This window comes from Homo sapiens, chromosome 2 (assembly GCF_000001405.40).
Source record: "Homo sapiens chromosome 2, GRCh38.p14 Primary Assembly".
In the NCBI taxonomy this organism is placed as follows: Eukaryota; Metazoa; Chordata; class Mammalia; order Primates; family Hominidae; genus Homo; species Homo sapiens.
The window spans coordinates 210,098,303-210,118,677 of NC_000002.12; the positions used below are offsets into that span (position 1 = coordinate 210,098,303).

The following is a 20,375-nucleotide window of genomic DNA, read 5'->3' on the forward strand; positions in this document are numbered from 1 at the left end:
CACACATGTTTTTATTTTAGTAAATGTTTTATTTGACAAAGACAATTTATACAACTGATTTTTCCATTTATTACAAATAAATCTATACTTTAAGTACCCATTCTTTTCCATATCCTTTTTTTATTATTGTTCCTTCATCTACCCATCCCATCATCTAACACATTTGAACCCAGCTAACAGCCTTTATATAATATTACCCTTGAGGCAGGAAAATTAATAATTAAAAATCACAGATACAATTTATTAAGTGCCTACTATGTGCCAGGCATTATATTAGGCACCACACATAGAATATTTCAATCTTTACAACTAACCAGCAAAGAAGATAATATTAGAGGTACTGACATCACTATTATTAATAACAGAACAGATGAGTAAATTCTAGCAAAGAAAAAAAGATTAAGTAGCTTGATCAAGGGCTATAAAGCTGGTATGAAATAGAACTAGGATTCAAATTCAGGCCTAAATCTAACAACACACTGTTTCTCAATATTTTTCCTAATTCACAAATATCAGAGTTTTTTTTTTAGCACCTAAGATTTCACTGACATTTGTCCCAGACTTAAATATATGTAATAAATATTAAATTATATAATATGTATAAATATTATTCTCAAAACAATCACAATTATAATAAGCAAAGGCCACATAAAAAGGAATAGTACATTTCTACAAAAGAATGACAACTATTTTCATTACACCTGTAATCCACGTTCATCATAGAAGAACTGGAAAATATAGAGACATTTTAAAAATGAAAAGAGAGTCATCTGTAATCATACTTCAAAGAGAAAACCAGAGCTAACATTTAGGTATATATTTCTCCTTCCACACTGAGTTTTCTGAGTATATGTAAGCATGAGTGTACATTCAACATGAACACATATACTTTTAATTAAATTATGCTACATCAATTTTCTAAAACCTGGTTTTCCCACTTAATATAGTGTGACCAACTTTTTAAAAAATACAGACGTAGTTCAACATTTTCAATACTGCAAGATACTCTATTGTGAAATAAAGGGGTATATGAAATAATTATTTTAGAATGCTTCATTTGTATGAAACTAATAACATGCTATTAGAAGTGAGACTAAATAATAGAATAAAATTAGGCCTAATATTTTATCCCTTCAAAAAATCTTTCATGAGAAAGACCTTGAAATGTTTTCACCATTTATTTTGAAGATAGTATGCACCTAATGATGTCATTTTAAAAATTATTACTCAGTTTTTAGATTAAAGCTCATTTTTAAAATCACCAATAGAAATGGATTCTTTATCCATTTAGCAAGTAATCATTAGTCATGCAAATAAATTCTGAAGTATCTCACATCTTCCGGTTGGAAACACTAAAACATTCCTGTCATTGTTCCACCTCCAAAAAACATCATCTAAAATCTTTTAAGCCACTGGACGTCGCTAATTGGATATATGTGAATAATGGGCCAGGAAGGGGGAAATTACAATCCCTATCTTTACCCTAAGAATCAGCCTATTCTGGCCCCATAAAATCTCACATACCCGAGTCATATGGGGAATAGAAAAGTCACAGAGAAAATGTGAATAAGAAAAGTAAAATTAAGAGAAGCGTAATTTGAACTCTGAAAACAAAAACTAATCAACTGTAAGTTAAAACACTAGCTATTCATAACAAGATTTATAATGTAAATACACCAGTAGCAAATTCATTTTAAATCACCTAAAGTAGAAGTCCCCAACCCCCGGGCTGCTGATGGGTACCTGTCCATGGCCTGTTAGAAACCAGGCTGCACAGCAGGAGGTGGGCAGAGGGCCAGCAAGAATTACCACCTGAGCTCCGCCTCCTGTCAGACCACCCACAGCATTAGATTCTCATAGCAGCGCGAACCATACTGTGAAGTGCACCTGCAAGGGATCTAGGTTGCTGCTCCTTATAAGACTCTAATGCCTGATGATCTGAGGTGGAACAGTTTCATCTCAAAACCATCCCCCCATCCCCACCCTGCGGAAAAATTGTCTTCTACAAAACCAGTACCTCATGCCAAACACGTTGGGAACAGCTGACCTAAAGTACTAAAAACAAGGTATTAATACTTTTCAATTTATGAACTACATATTATCTAACAATGCAAGCATTTATTAATACTATGAATCAATGTTATTTTTTAAATGATAGTCTACAACTCAATAGTGCCTTTATATTTTAACTTCCAACTCTAACAAAACTACTTTAGTCAAGCCAAAAGATTATGAGTGAACAGTTATATATCAGTAGATTATCCTAAGAAAACCATGCATAATAATGGGCTTGCCATACCTACCACTTAACTCACTCCTAGACTATCTTCCTCAACAAGTTTTTTTGTTTGTTTCAGACAGTGTCTCGTTCTGTCATCCAGGCTAGAGTGCAGTGGTGCCATCTGGCTCACTGCAATCTCTGCCACCTGGGCTCAAGTGATCCTTCCACCTCAGCCTCCTGAGTAGCTAGGACTACAGGTGTGTGCCACCAAGGCCAGCTACTTTTTGTATTTTTTGTAGAGACAGGGTCTCCCTGTGTTGCCCAGGCTGGTCTCAAACTCCTGGGCTCAAGCAATCTGCCCACCTTGGTCTCCCAAAGTGCTGGGATTACAGGCATGAGCTACCATGCCCGGCCACCAAGTATTTAAAAACAACTTAAGCTTTTAAAACTTGGCCTATAAAAAGCATTATTACCACATTTCAAGAACAAATGACTTGTTCATAGGCAATTTATTAACAACCTCTACAAGTAATTGCTGCTGCCCTTTCTGCATCTTTTACTTCTGCTCTCTTTACATAGAGCCATTACTGCTCTCACAACTCTTGGTTCCCTATACTATCAAAGGCCCTGACAGTTTCATCAGCAATGAGACCTAAAATGATACCCAGGACCAGCTTCATGGGCATGTAACCTGTGCACCAGGCTGAGCGCAGATGGAGGCTATGCTTGCTTAGTGCTCTGCTGTCACTGTCTTTAAATTCATAACTGTTTTTAACAAAGGGCTCCACAACTTCATTTTACACTAGGATCTGCAAATTAGGCAGTTCTGATGTCATCTCAGGTCCAACCTAAAAAAACTGGGGATATCAAGGAGAAAGGAAAAAGTACAAGAAATCTCTTTTAGAAATGAAAATATCTTAGAATTAATTTAAACAGATTACAATTTCCAATGAATAAGTAGTGACCTAAAGATGGTAAAAGTAGATTTGACTGTGTAAGCAAATGAATTACTCTAGAATGTGAAACAACTAGGATCAAACCGAACAAGGGTTGATCCTATAGGATGAGGGGAGGGAAAAGAAAGAGGAAAGTGGGAATATAGAAATATAACAAAAACTAATTTAAATCAATGCTTATATGGTCAAGTGCATTATAATTTGACATCAGATAATTACCAAACAGCTTTCTAAATTGCAAAATATTCATAAGTGCTTTGATTATGCATTCCAATTAAGAAAAACTCTGGGCAATTATAAATTTAACAAATACAGGGTGGAAGAAATTATACCATATTTTGGTTTATCAGGAATAAGACAGTAACCTGTATTTAGTTACTTCCTTGTATGTCAGAAAAACTCAGGAAAATTAGATGCAAGCAGGCATGAATCTGTATAATTTCCCAGAGGAACAATGTAATGATGCAACTATGGTGAAGAATGGCTCAGCTTTAAAGTAAAAAAGTCCTAGATTCAGCTTTCTACATATGGCTAGCCAGTTTTCCCAGCACCACTTATTAAATAGGGGATCTTTTCCCCATTTCTTGTTTTTGTCAGGTTTGGCAAAGATCAGATGGTTGTAGATGTGTGGTATTATTTCTGAGAGCTCTGTTCTGTTCCACTGGTCTATATCTCTGTTTTGGTACCAGTACCATGCTGTTTAGCCTTGTAGTATAGTTTAAAGTCAGGTAGCGTACTGCCTCCAGCTTTGTTCTTTTGGCTTAGGACTGTCTTGGCAATGCGGGCTCTTTTGTGGTAACTGGATCCCTTCCTTACACCTTATACAAAAATTAATTCAAGATGGATTAAAGACTTAAATATTAGACCTAAAACCATAAAAACCCTAGAAGAAAACCTAGGCAATACCATTCAGGACATAGGCATGGGCAAGGACTTCATGTCTAAAACACCACAAGCAATGGCAACAAAAGCCAAAATTGACAAATGGGATCTAATTAAACTAAAGAGCTTCTGCACAGCAAAAGAAACTACCATCAGAGTGAACAGGCAACCTACAGAATGGGAGAAAATTTTTGCAATCTACCTATCTGACAAAGGGCTAATATCCAAAATCTACAAAGAACTCAAACAAATTTACGAGAAAAAAACAAACAACCCCATCAACAAGTGGGCGAAGGATATGAATAGACACTTCTCAAGAGAAGACATTTATGCAACCAACAGACACGTGAAAAAATGCTCATCATCACTGGCCATCAGAGAAATGCATATCAAAACCACAATGAGATACCATCTCACACCAGTTAGAATGGTGATCATTAACAAGTCAGGAAACAACAGGTGCTAGAGAGGATGTGGAGAAATAGGAACACTTTTACACTGCTGGTGGGACTATAAACTAGTTCAACCATTGTGGAAGACAGTGTGGCGATTCCTCGAGGATCTAGAACTAGAAATACCATTTGACCCAGCCATCCCATTACTGGGTATATACCCAAAGGATTATAAATCATGCTGCTATAAAGACACATGTACACGTATGCTTATTGAGGCACTATTCACAATAGCAAAGACTTGGAACCAACCCAAATGTCCATCAATGATAGACTGGATTAAGAAAATGTGACATATATACACCATGGAATACTATGTAGCCATAAAAAAGGATGAGTTCATGTCCTTTGTAGGGACATGGATGAAGCTGGTAACCATCATTCTGAGCAAACTATCACAAGGACGAAAAACCAAACACCGCATATTCTCACTCATAGGTGGGAAATGAACAATGAGAAGAACACTTGGACACAGGAAGGGGGACATCACACACCGGGGCCTGTCATGGGGTGGGGGAAGGGGGGAGGGATAGCATTAGGAGATAGACCTAATGTAAATGACGAGTTAATGGGTGCAGCACACCAACATGGCACATGTATACATATGTAACAAACCTGCACGTTGTGCACATGTACCCTAGAACTTAAAGTATAATAATAATAAAAAAAAGTCCTAGAAACTGAGTTTGTTTAAGAGCCACTAAAGTCTAAATCAAAATAAATTGTTGGATTTCCAAGGACAGATACAGGATAGACTGGCCAGAATAATTAAGCTTGTGGAGTTATCCACAATAGAATTTAGATACCAAGGAAGGCTTTGGAATCAAAGTAATTGTTAGGAGCTTTCTTGACTTTCCATTTACATAATCATTTTTTATGAACAAATCCATATTCCAATATTATCTTTCACTAAAAATCTTGTTCAATAAATTAGTCAAACAACCATTCAGACATATTAACTGGTACAATTGTTCTCTCTCCTTGAAAAAAATCCAATGATAAACAATTTTGTTAGAAAAAGGATTTTCTAATCCCTGTAAAAATAAATTATCATCCTATAGCCATACCAATTCCATTACTTTACATATTATATTTAAATAATTTAAATTATATTGGTATTATAATGGAGACTGGTCATATGTCAAATATTTTAATTGTATTTAATGCCAGATGGCCTAGTTTAATAACACATATGCCAGGAAGATACACATATAATGATGTTTATTTGAATAGTTTACAAAATCAATGAAAAGTCATTTCATACCACTGATATCCTTACTTTGACTTTACCTGTTTTTCGATGTTTCGAAGAAGTAAAGTAGGGCTGCTTGGTGACATTTCAAAATCTTGTTCCGGTACAGGATCTTGACACTCCTGGGGAACCTGAGGATTCCCTAGAATGTTTAGTGAAGCTGCTTGGTCTGCAAATTGCATTTGTTTTTTCAAAATATCTTTTGGAAGCTGACATTCTTCTAGGACCACTATCCCCTAGACAAAAAACAATGAGAAAGTTGAAATGAAAACAAACTTATTATTAAGCCACCTTTAATGCTACAATGCACTTGAATCTATGCTTCCACTTATCTCTTGGAATTCAGAAAATATAAACTTGATAGTTTAACTCTGTAAAGAACTGGCTGGTTTAAAACACATGTAGCTAAAATAACATGTATGGTTGATAGGTTGGACTTGTAAAATATTTTCTTAACTTAAATACATGCAGTTTTTTTCTAATTGGTTTTAATTATTGGCATTAAAAGCATGACATATTAAAATAAAAAAAGGCATATTATACACAGAACATGGACATTTCAGATTGAAATCTAGAATATTTCCTGATAGAATCTCCTGATATTTTCATCACTAGCATTGCTATTTGTGCTTTACATTTGAGCACTCCCAATTTTATAAATTAAAACACCAAATTTACAAACATCCAAACAACAATCTAACTCTATCCTAACTCCTTTCAGAGCACCCTAAGGAGCCCTGCCCCTGTTGCTGTCAGCCAGCAACCAGGGATAGGACTGCACCACTGAGAAAAAGTACTCTCTAGGCCAATCAAAGTTCCCACTGCTTTCAGGGTAGCTGTGTTAATAATAAAGACACAAGCTTTCAACTTTGATGGGGTATATTCTGAAATGTAAGGAACTGGGGGAATGAATAGGGATCAAGTTGTCTCTGTACTCTCTGCCTCCTACTCACAAACATACTTATTCCTCAACTGGTTTGCTCGGCTTTCTCCTCCATTCCCCAGCTTCCTCACTCCAACTGTTCTCAACTTTAGGTTCCTCAGAGGCAATGGAGACAACAGAGAAAGAGAAAAAAGGAGTGCAAAGGCATGATCTTAATGGTTTCATAATCAGTTCCCACTGTAAAATTTCTTTCCTTCCTATCTATTCTACCACCCTTCCTCCTGAAAATAATACAGTAATATATACCATATATATATTACACATACACAGATATTATGTTATATATATACTGATATTACATATATTATATATTATATACACACACAGGTTTTACATATATAAATATATATATATATTTGAAAAAAAATATATATATATATATTTGAAACATGCTAATAAATTCCTATAGGCTAGTTGGAAAATTATTACACTCCTAATGTGGCTAAAATACTATATTATTGTAATAAAAAATAAACTAACATTAATATTAGTGTGCATTATTTCAAAAATGGAATGAATTAAATGATTGCTGTGGGCCACCTACATCATGCATAAGTCTTATTTATAAGATGGAAATTGCCTATAGATAATAATGTGTTATATATGAGTTTTAGTTTACACTATGTAATTTAGAGAATATATAACTTTAGAATGCACATATTCAGTTATGGTATTAAATGTATATTTTATTATTTTGTAGTAAAATTTTTGGTAAAAGTAGTAAATGCGCTTTTTAAAAAAATCTACATTTTGAATAGTGCTAACATGCTGACTTTTCCAAGGAGAAGGGGAGCCACTTGATCCCAATTACTGTTTTCTTAGAATGAACAAATATGGCCGTCAAGAAATCTGAAGAAACATGCTCAAAAGTTCTTATTTCATTTGGTATTTAAAAAAATAAATTAGATATAATAGATATGGTATCATTAGTCTGAAAAGCTCTTGAGAGTATCCATTCAAAATTTCTACAAGTCTACACACAAAAGGTACAATTTAAAATGTGGAAGCCCCTACTGCAGGATAACAAAAGAAATCTAAGAGAGAAACCATTTGATATAGCCAGTGTTCTCCCAAGAAAAATATTTCAATTTTTTTCTGAAGGTGAGAAGAATCTGTTGTCTTATTAGAAAGTTTGAAGCAGGGAGAAGAGGAAATTTCAAACCTACTCTCACTAGGTTTCTCCACAAGTACCTGCATGTCAAAGAAACACAAGTTCCACCTTATCAATTTAACTGCAATTGTCTTTGGTTTGATTCCAGTTTATAGTATGGGCCAGTCTGTATAGATTAGTCTGATATCAGTCTGTATAGATTAGTCTGATTTCAGAATCCATATTTATAAATCTGCATCTATGGGAAAACTCTACTCTGAATTTCAAAGTTCTATTTCCAAACCTTTAGAATACTACCTTTCTATAAGTACAAAGCCTGCTATAGTTAGTTTAATAAAGAATTATATTTTTAAAATTCAACCAGGGAGGCAGGGCATGGTGGTTTACGCCTGTAATCCTAGCACTTTGGGAGGGTGAGGCAGGTGGATCACTTGAGGCCAGGAGTTCAACACCAGCCTGGCCAACATAGCAAAACCCTGTCTCTACTAACAGTACAAAAATTGGCTGGGCATCATGGCACATGCCTTTGGTCCCAGATACTTGGGAGGCTGAGGCAAAAGAATTGCTTGAACCCAGGAGGAGGAGGTTGCAGTGAGCCGAGATCGCACCACTGCACTCCAGCCTGGGTGACAGAGACTCTGTCAAAAAAAAAAAAAAAAATTAAAATTCAACCAGGGAGACCGTCATAGTCAACTTCATAATCTGTTTTTTCCTCCATAAACTACTACCCTGGACAAAACTGTTGGAGTGTGAGGAGAGTGGCCCATTCTGATCCACCACTGCCAAGAATGGAGAGGAAAGGGTTGAATATTTATATTTAATCCTCTGGGGACACAGCAGAGAGTTTCTGTTCTTAAAAAAATTAGTAAAAGGATATTCTGATATGTAAAACAACATAGATAAGAAAGACAAAAAATATTTTTAGAAAAACGAGTTACAACAACTGAAACAAGTCAAAACTCTAGCATAAGATGAAAGCAAATCAACTGTTTCTGAGAAGAGAAATCCTGACAATGCAGGGTCTTCACAGAGAAAACACTGTGTGAAAAAAGAACTGCCTCAGCAACATCTCTATTATTCACATAAATTCACTAAAGTTAATTTTAAGTAAAACTTTAAATAAAAAATTTAAAACACACAAAAGGTACAATTTAAAATGTGGAAGCCCCTACTGCAGGATAACAAAAGAAATCTAAGAGAGAAACCATTTGATATAGCCAGTGTTCTCCCAAGAAAAATATTTCAATTTTTTTCTGAGGGTGAGAAGAATCTGTTGTCTTATTAGAAAGTTTGAAGCAGGGAGAAGAGGAAATATAGGAATCTGTAATATGTTGACAAAGCTGTCGCAAGAACCACCAAAGGATGTTGCTAATAACTGCTTTCTTCTCCTCAAAAAAAAAATATATATATATATATTTTTTTTTTTTGAGACAGAGTCTTGTTCTATTGCCCAGGCTGGAGTGCAGTGGCGCAATCTTGACTCACTGCAAGCTCTGCCTCCCGGGTTCACGCCATTCTCCTGCCTCAGCCTTCCGAGTAGCTGGGACTACAGGTGCCCGCCACCACGCCCGGCTAATTTTTTAAAAAATATTTTTAGTAGAGATGGGGTTTCACCGTGTTAGCCAGGATGGTCTCAATCTCCTGACCTTGTAATTCGCCTGCCTCGGCCTCCCAAAGTGCTGGGATTACAGGCTTGAGCCACCATGCCTGGCCTTCTCCTCTGAAAATTTAAGCAAAGTTTAGACCATAAGAAGAATGGTAAAGGGGCAAATGATGTGTTTTCTGACTTAAGGCACAAACTAGCACTTATTGAAACAGGATATTTACAAAACAGCATCTCTCAATCTCTTTCCTTTCCCTTTATCTCTAACTTAAGTGAGAACAATTTTTTTTACATTTAAAATACATTAAACAGAAAGTTCTATTTCAAGACAGTACTGGCCATCCTTCTCAATTTTTTTCTTACAATAACTCAAGAAGCTATAAGAGCAAGGAAAGTGATGTTTTTCTTATATAATAACATTTCAACTAAGTTGCATATAAACAACTAAACACTTTGATTAATTCCTAATAAATGTAATGAGAAACTACTAAAATAACAAAAACATTGTATTCTAATAACCTAATTTTGTGGCATGTTCCATAAAATAAACATAATGATATTCTTAAAGGAACAAAGGGCCAGATACACATTTATCCTGAATTAAGAAAAAGGTAAGGTCATATAAGTTATTACAGGGAAGTTTATACGTCTTTCCTTAAAACAATTTATTCCAGTAGATGTTGCAATCAAGCTTTTAAAAGAGTTTAAACAAGAAGTATACAGTACTGCTTAGAAAATATAGAATATTAAAATATCCTTTCTTAAGTTAAAGGATTATGAATCAGACTGTCTAGATTGAAATATAAATCTTATTCATCAATGTAACTGCAAACCCACTTTCTTTGAAATATCTAAATTGTTTTATACTTGACTCATTCTTAGAACTCTATTTGCTATAAAAAACGTGTGAAATTATATCCTTTATGGAAAATGATCAAAGAGGAGAGATTATGCGGTGATCTTGAAACGACTGGGTAATTGTAAACTGAAGGCTCCTGTAAAGATAACAGTGAACAATGAGAAAAAGTAACTAATAAACTTTCATCAGGAAACACTTAGTGAATGTGGTTCCCTCAAATCTCACAGAACTAGTAAGCCTAAGGTTTTATGTCTATCCTTCTTCCTACCTTCCTATAGACACCACCACTAATTGCTACCAAGTATTAAACATACTTCATCACTTCCTAGCTTTTGTTCCTTTTCTTGTATAACACATACTTTCTGCTCCTTTAAATACCATACTACTTTGTCATTCCTGAAAATGATCATGTTGTTTCACACCTTCAAACCTGTAAAAAACGCCTTTTTCTAGTTCCATTGGTTCATCAAAAAATTACTGTTCATCCCCCAAAGTCATACTGAGATGTCACTTTCTTCTCTTAATGTTTTCTCTGACCCTCTGACCCATAAGTATTCTCTCTATGGCCCTTCAAATATCTTAGAAAAACAGGTATTCTACTTAAAGTATAATTTTTTAAAAAAACAGGTATTACCGAATATATTACATATATTGAAACGATTATAGGTTTTATCTCCCTTACCAGAATATAAACTCATGATAGATAGAGCCTAAAATTTATTAATCTTTGTGGATGTGCAGACCCCTAGGAGAGGCTAGGCAAACTACATGGTTCAAGGACTCTGATCCCTTCCCTTCTCAGCTTTTTCCTTTTCAGACCTATCCCTATCAACCTTCAATATTAGATTATCTCCAGGATGTCTACAGTATGACCATATAGAATACTGTTTCCCACAAAAACAAGGTTACAAATAAATATTTAGCAATATTTAGATTGCATAAGAACTCATTTGTATCGCTGATTCTTTGGGAAAAATAGATCACAATGAACATTCCCACTTGGAAATGTAAAGAATAAAGAATATATGTCAGCTATTGGTCTATATTAATGCTAACATTCTGCTGGACCAATATTGTGAGAGCTTCTTACCCTAGGTGTATGGCTTAATTAGGCCCTAATTTGTGCTTCCTATTAAAGGGTTCTTTCTATTCACTGTTCTCTATGGCTCCTGAATCAGCCTGCTTCTTTCTTTTATATTACCTTCCTTGGTAATATAAATTTAAAATTTATATTGGTAATATAAATATAAATATAAAGCTTCTTTCTTTTATATTACCTTCCTTGGCAATATCAGTAAATGTTTTTGACTTCTTTAGGAACTGCAAAGCTCTTAACCTGCTTCTTGTTCATAGAAGGTTGGCGTCCTAAGGACTGGTTTAAGTCTTGGCCAGTAAAAGGCTTTTTATAGGCCAAGCTTGTAATTTCTTTGGTAGAACTCACTCAGAAACTCAGAAGGCTTCCCATCTCTCTGTTTTCAGGCAGTTCCATGTACTGACAATCACACCCACAGTTCTCTGATGCATTCTCAAAGGATATTTCTTTCACCCTCTAACCCCTATACCTACCTACATACTCCTTTCTCCCGTTCCTCTTTCTCTGCTTCCTTGTGGGGATTCTCATAAGCTATTAAGTTCTGATGGAAAATCCACATTCTTAATCTTCCTCCACTGCACTAAGTGTAATTTTATCCAGCTCAAAGGTTTTGCAGAGGATGGTATCCTTAGTCTGATATTTAGCTCCAAATCACTTTGGTCCTTTATTATTCAAAGGTTTTCTCAATCCTATCTCTTATCATATAAAGTGTAGAGAGAGGCAGTTTTGCTAACTTCGTAAGGCCTTGAATTTCTAGAAACCTATTCCTTTTCATTTATGTTTTTAAACAGGTTTGAAAATGACCTAATTAGAAATTATCAATAAAAAGCATTATCACAAAGTAAAAGCCAATGTAAAAGCCAATATACAGGACAAAGTCTAAGCAGAATATGGTCAAAGACAGAATTAGCAAATTAAAAGACAGTAAAGAATTCCTTGTGGTACAGAGAGACAAATGAGATTAAAAAATTAAAGAGTGGTTAAGAGACATGAAAAATTTGTTTGAACCTCTCAATCTATGAGAATTTCACAAAAATGGAAGAGAAAAAAATTGACAAACATACAATATTTGGATGATAGTAGCAGAGAATATGCTAGACTTGAAGAAAGATGTAACACCTTGGACTAAACATGGACTCTGGGCTGGGTGCAGTGGCTTATACCTGTAATCTCAGCACTTTAAGAGGCTGAGGCTAAGAAGCTGAGGCAGGTGGATAGCTTGAGCCCAGGAGCTTGAGACCAGCCTGGGCAACATGGCGAAACCCCAAACCCACCAAAAATACAAAAATTAGCCAGGTGCGCTGGTGCATTCTTGTAGTCCCATCTACCCAGGAAGCTGAGGCGGGAGGATCGCTTGAGCCTGGGAGGTCAAGGCTGCAGTGAGCCGTAATCATGCCACTGCACTCCAGCCTGGCCAACAGAGCAAGGCCCTGTCTCAAAAATATAAAAGAAATTAAAACAAATGAATGTGGACTCTGAAAAAAAAAAACATGTCTACACTAAAACTTATAGATGAATATATATAGCAGCATTATTCATAATAGCCAAAAACTAAAACAACCTAAATTTCCATGACCTAGGAAACAGATAAACAAATTATAGTACAATCCTACAATGGAATACTGCTCAACAATAAAAAAGAAAAAATTACTTATATATACAGCAACAAAGATGAACCTAAAAGCATTATGCTAAGTGAAAGAGCAAAATAGAGATTAATGTTTTATTATTTGACTTATATGAAATTCTAGAAAAGGCAAAACTATAGCAATAGAAAACAGATTAGTGGTTGCCAGAGAAAAGAGCCTGAAGGAAAGAGATTGACCGCAAAGAGGAAGGAATGACATTTTTGAAGGTTATAGAAATGTCCTACATTATGATCATAGTGATGGTTACAAGAGTAGATATTTGTCAAAATTCAGTGAACTGTATAGTTAAAAATGTGTACTCTGAGTACTAAGCAACATAAAGACAATCCTTTGATACCTGTTAGTAAGAATGCAGAACATCAAATAAACAAGAACATCTTTTTTTTTCTTTTTTTTAACTTTTTTTAAAAAATTTTATTATTATTATACTTTAAGTTTTAGGGTACATGTGCACAACGTGCAGGTTTGTTACATATGTATACATGCGCCATGTTGGTGTGCTGCACCCATTAACTCATCATTTAGCATTAGGTATACCTCCTAAAGCTCTCGCTGCCCCCTCCCCCCACCCCACAACAGTCCCTGGTGTGTGATGTTCCCCTTCCTGTGTTCATGTGTTCTCATTGTTCAATTCCCACCTATGAGTGAGAACATGCGGTGTTTGGTTTTTTGTCCTTGTGATAGTTTGCTGAGAATGATGGTTTCCAGCTTCATCCATGTCCCTACAAAGGACATGAACTCATCATTTTTTATGGCTGCATAGTATTCCATGGTGTATATGTGTCACATTTTCTTAATCCAGACTATCGTTGTTGGACATTTAGGTTGGTTCCAAGTCTTTGCTATTGTGAATAGTGCCGCTATAAACATACATGTACATGTGTCTTCATAGCAGCAACCTAACAAAAACAGCAATGGGGAAAGGATTCCCTCTTTAATAAATGGTGCTGGGAAAACTGGCTAGCCATATGTAGAAAACTGAAACTGGATCCCTTCCTTACACCTTATACAACAAGAACATCTTAAAGGTACCAGATAGAAAAGACAGTACCCAGAAAAGAAAAATAATCACATTGACAGTAGACTTCTCCTCAGTATCAAACAAAACAATAAAACACATCTTTAAAGTGCTAAAGAAAAATAACTGTCAAACTAGAATTTAACACCAAAGTAAAATACCATTTAAGAGTGAGGGTAAAATGAAGATATTCTGAGATGTACAAAGACACAAAGTTTAAGTGTCCAGAGACCCAAATGTCAAAAACTCCTTTCAGTGCATGTCTCTTATTTCTTTCTACTTTATTTTTTAATTGACAAATAATAATTGTATATATTTATGGTATATATAATGATATTTCAATACATATGATGTATAGTGATCAGATCAGGGTAATTAGCATATCCATCACCACAAATATTTATCGTTTCTATGTGTTGGAACAGGAACCACCAGGAATCTGTCACCCCACCTAGACACCACCTGCATTGGCAGAATCTGTCTAATGTCATTACTTCAAAAATCTGGAGTTTACTGAAGACTTGCAAGTTCAAAGGGCAGGCTTGGACAGTAAATGTGCAGTTAATTTTCATCAATTTTAGCTCTTAGCACAATAGCAGCTACCCATCCCCACACCTAGTCCCATGGCAGGCAGCCATTCATACATTTCTGAAGCAATCTATATACAGCCTGCATAAGTCAGGGTAGGGGAAAAGGACCCTGTTCTGCAAATATTAGGGATCTGTGTTCTGATCACTGATTGCAACCTTTGATCACAGAGGTACAGACAAAGAGGCAACCATTGTTGTAGTACCTCCCTCCTTTTATTGCAATTCCCTCCTCCTCTGGCAGAAGGCCTTCCTGGGGATTTAAAGGGCCAGCACCCTTTAAAAAAAAATCCTCTCTTCATTTTTCTCTTTTCCCCTTTTGGGAGCCAGACATTAAAAGCAGGACATTTTAAAACAACTGCACCAATGGGGAAAATTAGAAAGCAACTGGGCATTTCCAAGAAAACGTGCAGGCTCAGAAAAAATAAGATTTTAACTATACACTTCAGGCTTATTCTTGCCACACCGACAACCTACAACAATAGAGAAAAACAAAATAATAAACAAAAATGATTTTAAAAGTCCTGCAGAAAGGGAAAGAATCTGATTTCCATTATTAGAGTCAAATGTCCAGTTTCCAAAAACAACAAAAAAAACAAAAAGCATACAATGAAACAGGAAAAATGGAGCATTCAAAGGAAAAAAAAGAATAAACAGAAACTGTCCCTGAAAACAGGATGGAAGATCTATTAGACAAAGACTTTAAAACAACTGTCTTAAAGATGCACAAAAGGCTAAAAAAATGATGTGAAAAAGTCAAGAAAAAGATGTTATGAACAAAATGCAAACATCAATATGGAGATAGAAAACCTGAAAAGAAACCAAACAGAAATTCTAGAGCTGAAAAGTATAATAACTGAAATGAAAAATTCACTAGAGGTATTCAAAGGCAAATGTGAACAGGCAGGAAAAACATCAATGAACTTGAAGCCAGGACAGTAAAAATAATCAAGTGCAAAGCATAAAAAGAAAACAGATTAAAGAAAAGTGAACAAAGTCTAAGGGACACGTGGAACACTATTAAGTGGCCCAACATATAAATGTGGGAGTTCCAGAAAAAGAAGAGAAAGACAGGCAGAGAGAATATTTGAAGAAATAATGGCTAAAAACTTCCCAGATATGATGAAAGACATGATTACAAATATCAAAAGCTGAATGAGCTCCAAATAAGATGAATCCAAAGAGTACTACAAAGAAACATATTATAATCAAACTACTGAATGACAAAAAGAAAGAATCTTGAAAGCGGCAAGAGAGAAGCACATGCAAGGGATCCTCCGTAATACTATCAGTAGCCTCTTATGATAAACTTTGGAGGTCCAAAGGCAGTTAGGTCAACATATTCAAAGCAAAAAACAAACAAAAGAAAACAAGACAAAATAACAACAACAACAACAACAAACCCTGGCCAACCCAAAATCCTATTCTATTCGGGAAAATTGTCCTTCAAAGGTAAAAAAAATTAAGACACTCTCAAGTAAACAAAAGCTGAGAGAGTCATTTACCAGTAGACCTACTCTGCAGAAAATACTTAAAGAAGTCATGCAAGGTGAAATGAAAGACGTAGATAGTAACTTAAAGCTGTATGATGAAAGAAAAATCTCAATGAAGTTAAATACATGCATAATTATAACAGCTAGTATTATTGTAACACTAGTTTGTAACTCCTTGCTTTCTACATGATTTAAATAACTAGTACATTAAAAAAATATAATAGATCCAAAGCTAGACTTGTGGTAACTTTGGTTTGCAGCTCCACATTTTGTTTTCTACATAATTTAAGAAACTAATATATTTAAAATGATTATTAATGTATGCTTTGGGACACATTAGTATAAGGATATAATTTTGTGACATCAACAACCAAAAGGGGTGGGAACAAAGCTGTAAAGGAAATGAGTTTTTATATGTTACTAAAGTTAAACTGGAATAAATTCAAATTATAATGTAATAACTTTATGAGGTTAAATGTAATCCCCATAGGCAACCACAAAGAAAATATCTACAGAATATATATAAAAGGAAATGAGAAAGAAATTTAAACATTTCAGTGTCAAAAAATAATCAACTAAACATAACAGAAGACAGTAGTGCAGGAAATGAAAAACAAAAAAGGTATAAGATATATAGAAAATAGCAAAATGACAGAAGTAAGTCTATCCTTTTTAGTAATTACGTTAAGTGTAAATGGATTAAACTCCCCAAAACACAGAAATTAGAATGGATAAAAACACAGAATCCAACTCTATACTGTCTACAAGAGATTCAACTTAAGTCCAACGACACAAGTAAGTTGAAAGTGGAAGGATTTTTAAAAATTATATACAATATCAGACAAAACAGATTTTAAATTAAAAAAGGTTACGAGAGATAAGGACATTATATATTAATAAGACTCTATAACAAGATATAACAATTATAAACATTTATGAAACCATGCCACAAAGAGTTAAGAAAACCAGTCTAAATTCCTATGTTTATAGGATAACAGATAAGAAAATAAACAACTTGTTGAGATACTGAAACTCAAACTATAACCCAAGGAGTAAGAAGTCAGTAACTAGCAAAAATTCTTGAGTTTGTAGGATAGCAGATAATTAAAGACATAACCCACTGAGACGCCAAAACTCTCTAACCTTGTGAGAACAAGAGTAAACTGGCAAAAATCAGTTAAAACCAAAATGGCTGACAGAAGTTTGCACAGATGACCTTACTGACATCACAGCCTAAATTTACACTGCATGTTTCATATTAACTCCCCCTGAATTTGCACATGCAATCCATGAGTTAGCATGAAGCAATAACTGCACATGCCCAAGAACTTTCCAAAACTTTCCTTTCCTTCTACCAATCACCTGTTAATCCCAATATCTACCCCCAAATCTATTCTAATAAAAATGTTACCATAAAAATAGCATGAGAGAGGGGAGGCAGAACAAGACGGCTGAATAGAAGCCTCCAGCAATTGTACCCCCACTACCTCCCAACATAGGAACACCAGATTGAACACTATCCACATAAAACAGCATCTTTATAAGAGCTAAAAGTCAGATTGGTTACCAGCTTGGCCACAGTGGGGTAAAGCACCAAGCATTTCTGGACCTACCCTGGTCCAGAGGGGAGCCCACTGTCCTGAAGGGAGAGACTCAGGACTGGCAGCATTCACCAAAAGCTGACTGAAGAAGCCTTGGGCCTTTAGTAAACATTGGCCGTAGACAGGCAGTACTTGCTGTGGCCCTGGGGCAGTGGTGGCCATGGGAAGGGACTGCTCTGCTTGAGGAAAGAGGAAGGAAGGGTAGGGAGGACTTTGTCTTGTGACTTGGTCAGCTGCAGTAGAACACAGCACCAGGTGGAGTCCCAAGATGGCATCTCTAGACCCACCCGGGGCTGGGGAGAAAACTTGCCACCCTTAAGGGAAGGACACAAGCCTGGGTGGATTTGCCACCTGCTGATGATAGAACTTTTGGGCCTTGAGGAGACACAGACGATAGCCAGGTAGTGGTCACTGCTGGCCTTAGGTGAGACCAGTGCTGTGCTGTCTTCGGATCTGACCCTGTGCAGTCCCAGTGGTCCTTGTGTCACGCCTCTCCTAGCTCCAAGCAGCTCAGTACAGAGGGTGAGACTGTGTTTCCCTGGGGGAAAGTAAGGGAAGAGAACAGGAGTCTCTGACTGGTAATCCAGAGAATGCTTTTGGATCTTACCCGAGACTACTGAGGTCATACCTCTATGAGTCCACAAAAGATGCAGTGTTACTAAAGTTGGGGATATGACTGCAGTGACCAATGAATTAGATCACAACACCCAAGGGTGTTTCAATATCTAGAAAGCATTCTCAAGAAGGACTGGTACAAATTAGTGCAGATGCAAAGACTAATAAATAACTAACTTTTCAATGTCCAGACACAGACGAACATCTATGAGTATAAAGAACACCCAGGAACACATGGCCTCACCAAATGGACTAAATAGGGCACCAAAGACCAATGCCAGAGAGACAGGGATGTGACCTTTCAGACGCAGAACTGAAAATAGCTGTTTTGAGAAAGCTCAATGAAATCTAAGGTAACACAAGAAGGAATTCAGAATCCTATCAGATAAATTTAATGAAGAAATTGAAACAGTTAAAAAGAAACAAGCAGAAATTCTGGAGCTGAAAAATGCAACTGACATTATGAAGAATGCACAAGATAGAGTCTCTTAACAGCAGGATTAATCAAAAAGAAGAAAATTACTGAGCTTGAAGACAGGCTATGTGAAAATATACCTCAGAAGAGACAAAAGAAAAAAGAATAAAAAGTAATAAAGCACACCTACCAGATCAAAAAAATAGCCTCAAAAGGGCAAACCTAAGATACTGGCCTTTAAGGGGAGGAAGAGAAAGAGATCAGCGTAGAAAGTATATTCAAATGGATAATAACAGAGAACTTCCCAAATCTACAGTAAGATGCCAATATTCAAGTACAAGAAGGTTATAGGGCACCAAGAAAATTTAATCCAAAGAAAAGTACCTCAAGACATTTAATAATCAAACACCCAAAGGGAGGGAATAAAGAAAGGATTCAAAAAGCAGCAAGAGAAAAGAAACAACATACAAAGGAGCTCCAATATGTCTGGTAGCAGACTTCTCAGGGGAAACCTTACAGGTGAGGAGTGAGTGGCATGACATATTTAAAGTGCTGAAAGAAAAAAACTTTTATCCTAGAATAGTATATCCAGCAAATATATCCTTCAAGATGAACTTTTCACTAGACTAAGAAAAAAAACAGGGAAGATTCAAATAAAATTGCAAATAAAAAAGGAGACATTACAATGGATACAACAGAAATACAAAGGATTATAAGAGACTATTATGAAAAAGTATAAACCAACAAGCTGAACAATCTAAAATCAATAAACAAATCTCTTGATTCATACAGCCTAGCAAGACTGTATTATAAAAAAATAGAAAATTTTGGCCAGGCACGACGGCTCATGCCCGTAATCTCAGCACTTTGGGAGGCCGAGACAGGTGGATCACCTGAGGTTGGGAGTTTGAGACTAGCCTGACCAACATGGAGAAACCCCGTCTCTACTAAAAATACAAAAAAATTAGCCGGGTGTGATGGCGCATGCCTGTAATCCCAGCTACTCAGGAGGCTGAGGCAGGAGAATCACTTGAACCCAGGAGGCAGAGGTTGCAGTGAGGTGAGATCACGCCATTGTACTCCAGCCTGGGCAACAAAAGCGAAACTCCATCTCAAAAAAAAAAAAAAGGAGGGGGGCGGGTGCGGTGGCTTATGCCTGTAATCCCAGCACTTTGGGAGGCCGAGGCGGGTGGATCACTTGAGGTCAGGAGTTCAAGACCAGCCTGACCAACATGGAGAAACCTTGTCTCTACTAAAAATATAAAATTAGCCAGGCATGGTGGTACATGCCAGTAATCCCAGCTACTCGGGAGGCTGAGGCAGGATAGTTGCTTGAATCGGGAGGTGGAGGTCGCACTGTGAGCTCAGATCGCACCATTGCACTCCAGCCTGGGCAACAAGAAACTCCATACTCCAACTCAAAAAAAAAAAAAAAAAACAGAAGAAAAAATAGAAAATTTTAACAAACCAAAAATGAGTAAGGAGATTAAATCACTAATAAGTCTTCCATTATACCAAGCATGGTGGCTCGTACCTGTAATCCCAGCACTTTGGAAGGCCAGGGCAGGCAGACTGCTTGAGCTCAGGAGTTTGAGTCCAGCTTGGGTACATGGCAAAACCCCCAT

The 20,375-nt window shown here is 36.2% G+C and overlaps 1 protein-coding gene across 18 annotated transcripts in view; it reads right to left on the minus strand.

Annotated features, from left to right (window-relative positions):
• The window catches only part of KANSL1L (KAT8 regulatory NSL complex subunit 1 like), a 151,340-nt gene that overhangs the window by 76,882 nt on the left and 54,083 nt on the right, over positions 1 to 20,375 (minus strand). For 17 of the 18 annotated variants that reach the window (XM_047443489.1, NM_001307976.2, NM_152519.4 and 14 more), the window contains exon 4: positions 5,802 to 5,999. In XM_047443489.1, the coding sequence (XP_047299445.1) occupies positions 5,802 to 5,999 (198 nt within the window). Of the gene's footprint in view, positions 1 to 5,801; positions 6,000 to 6,724; positions 6,803 to 20,375 lie in introns of those variants that run through there. The other variant, XM_011510710.3, reaches the window with a different exon arrangement.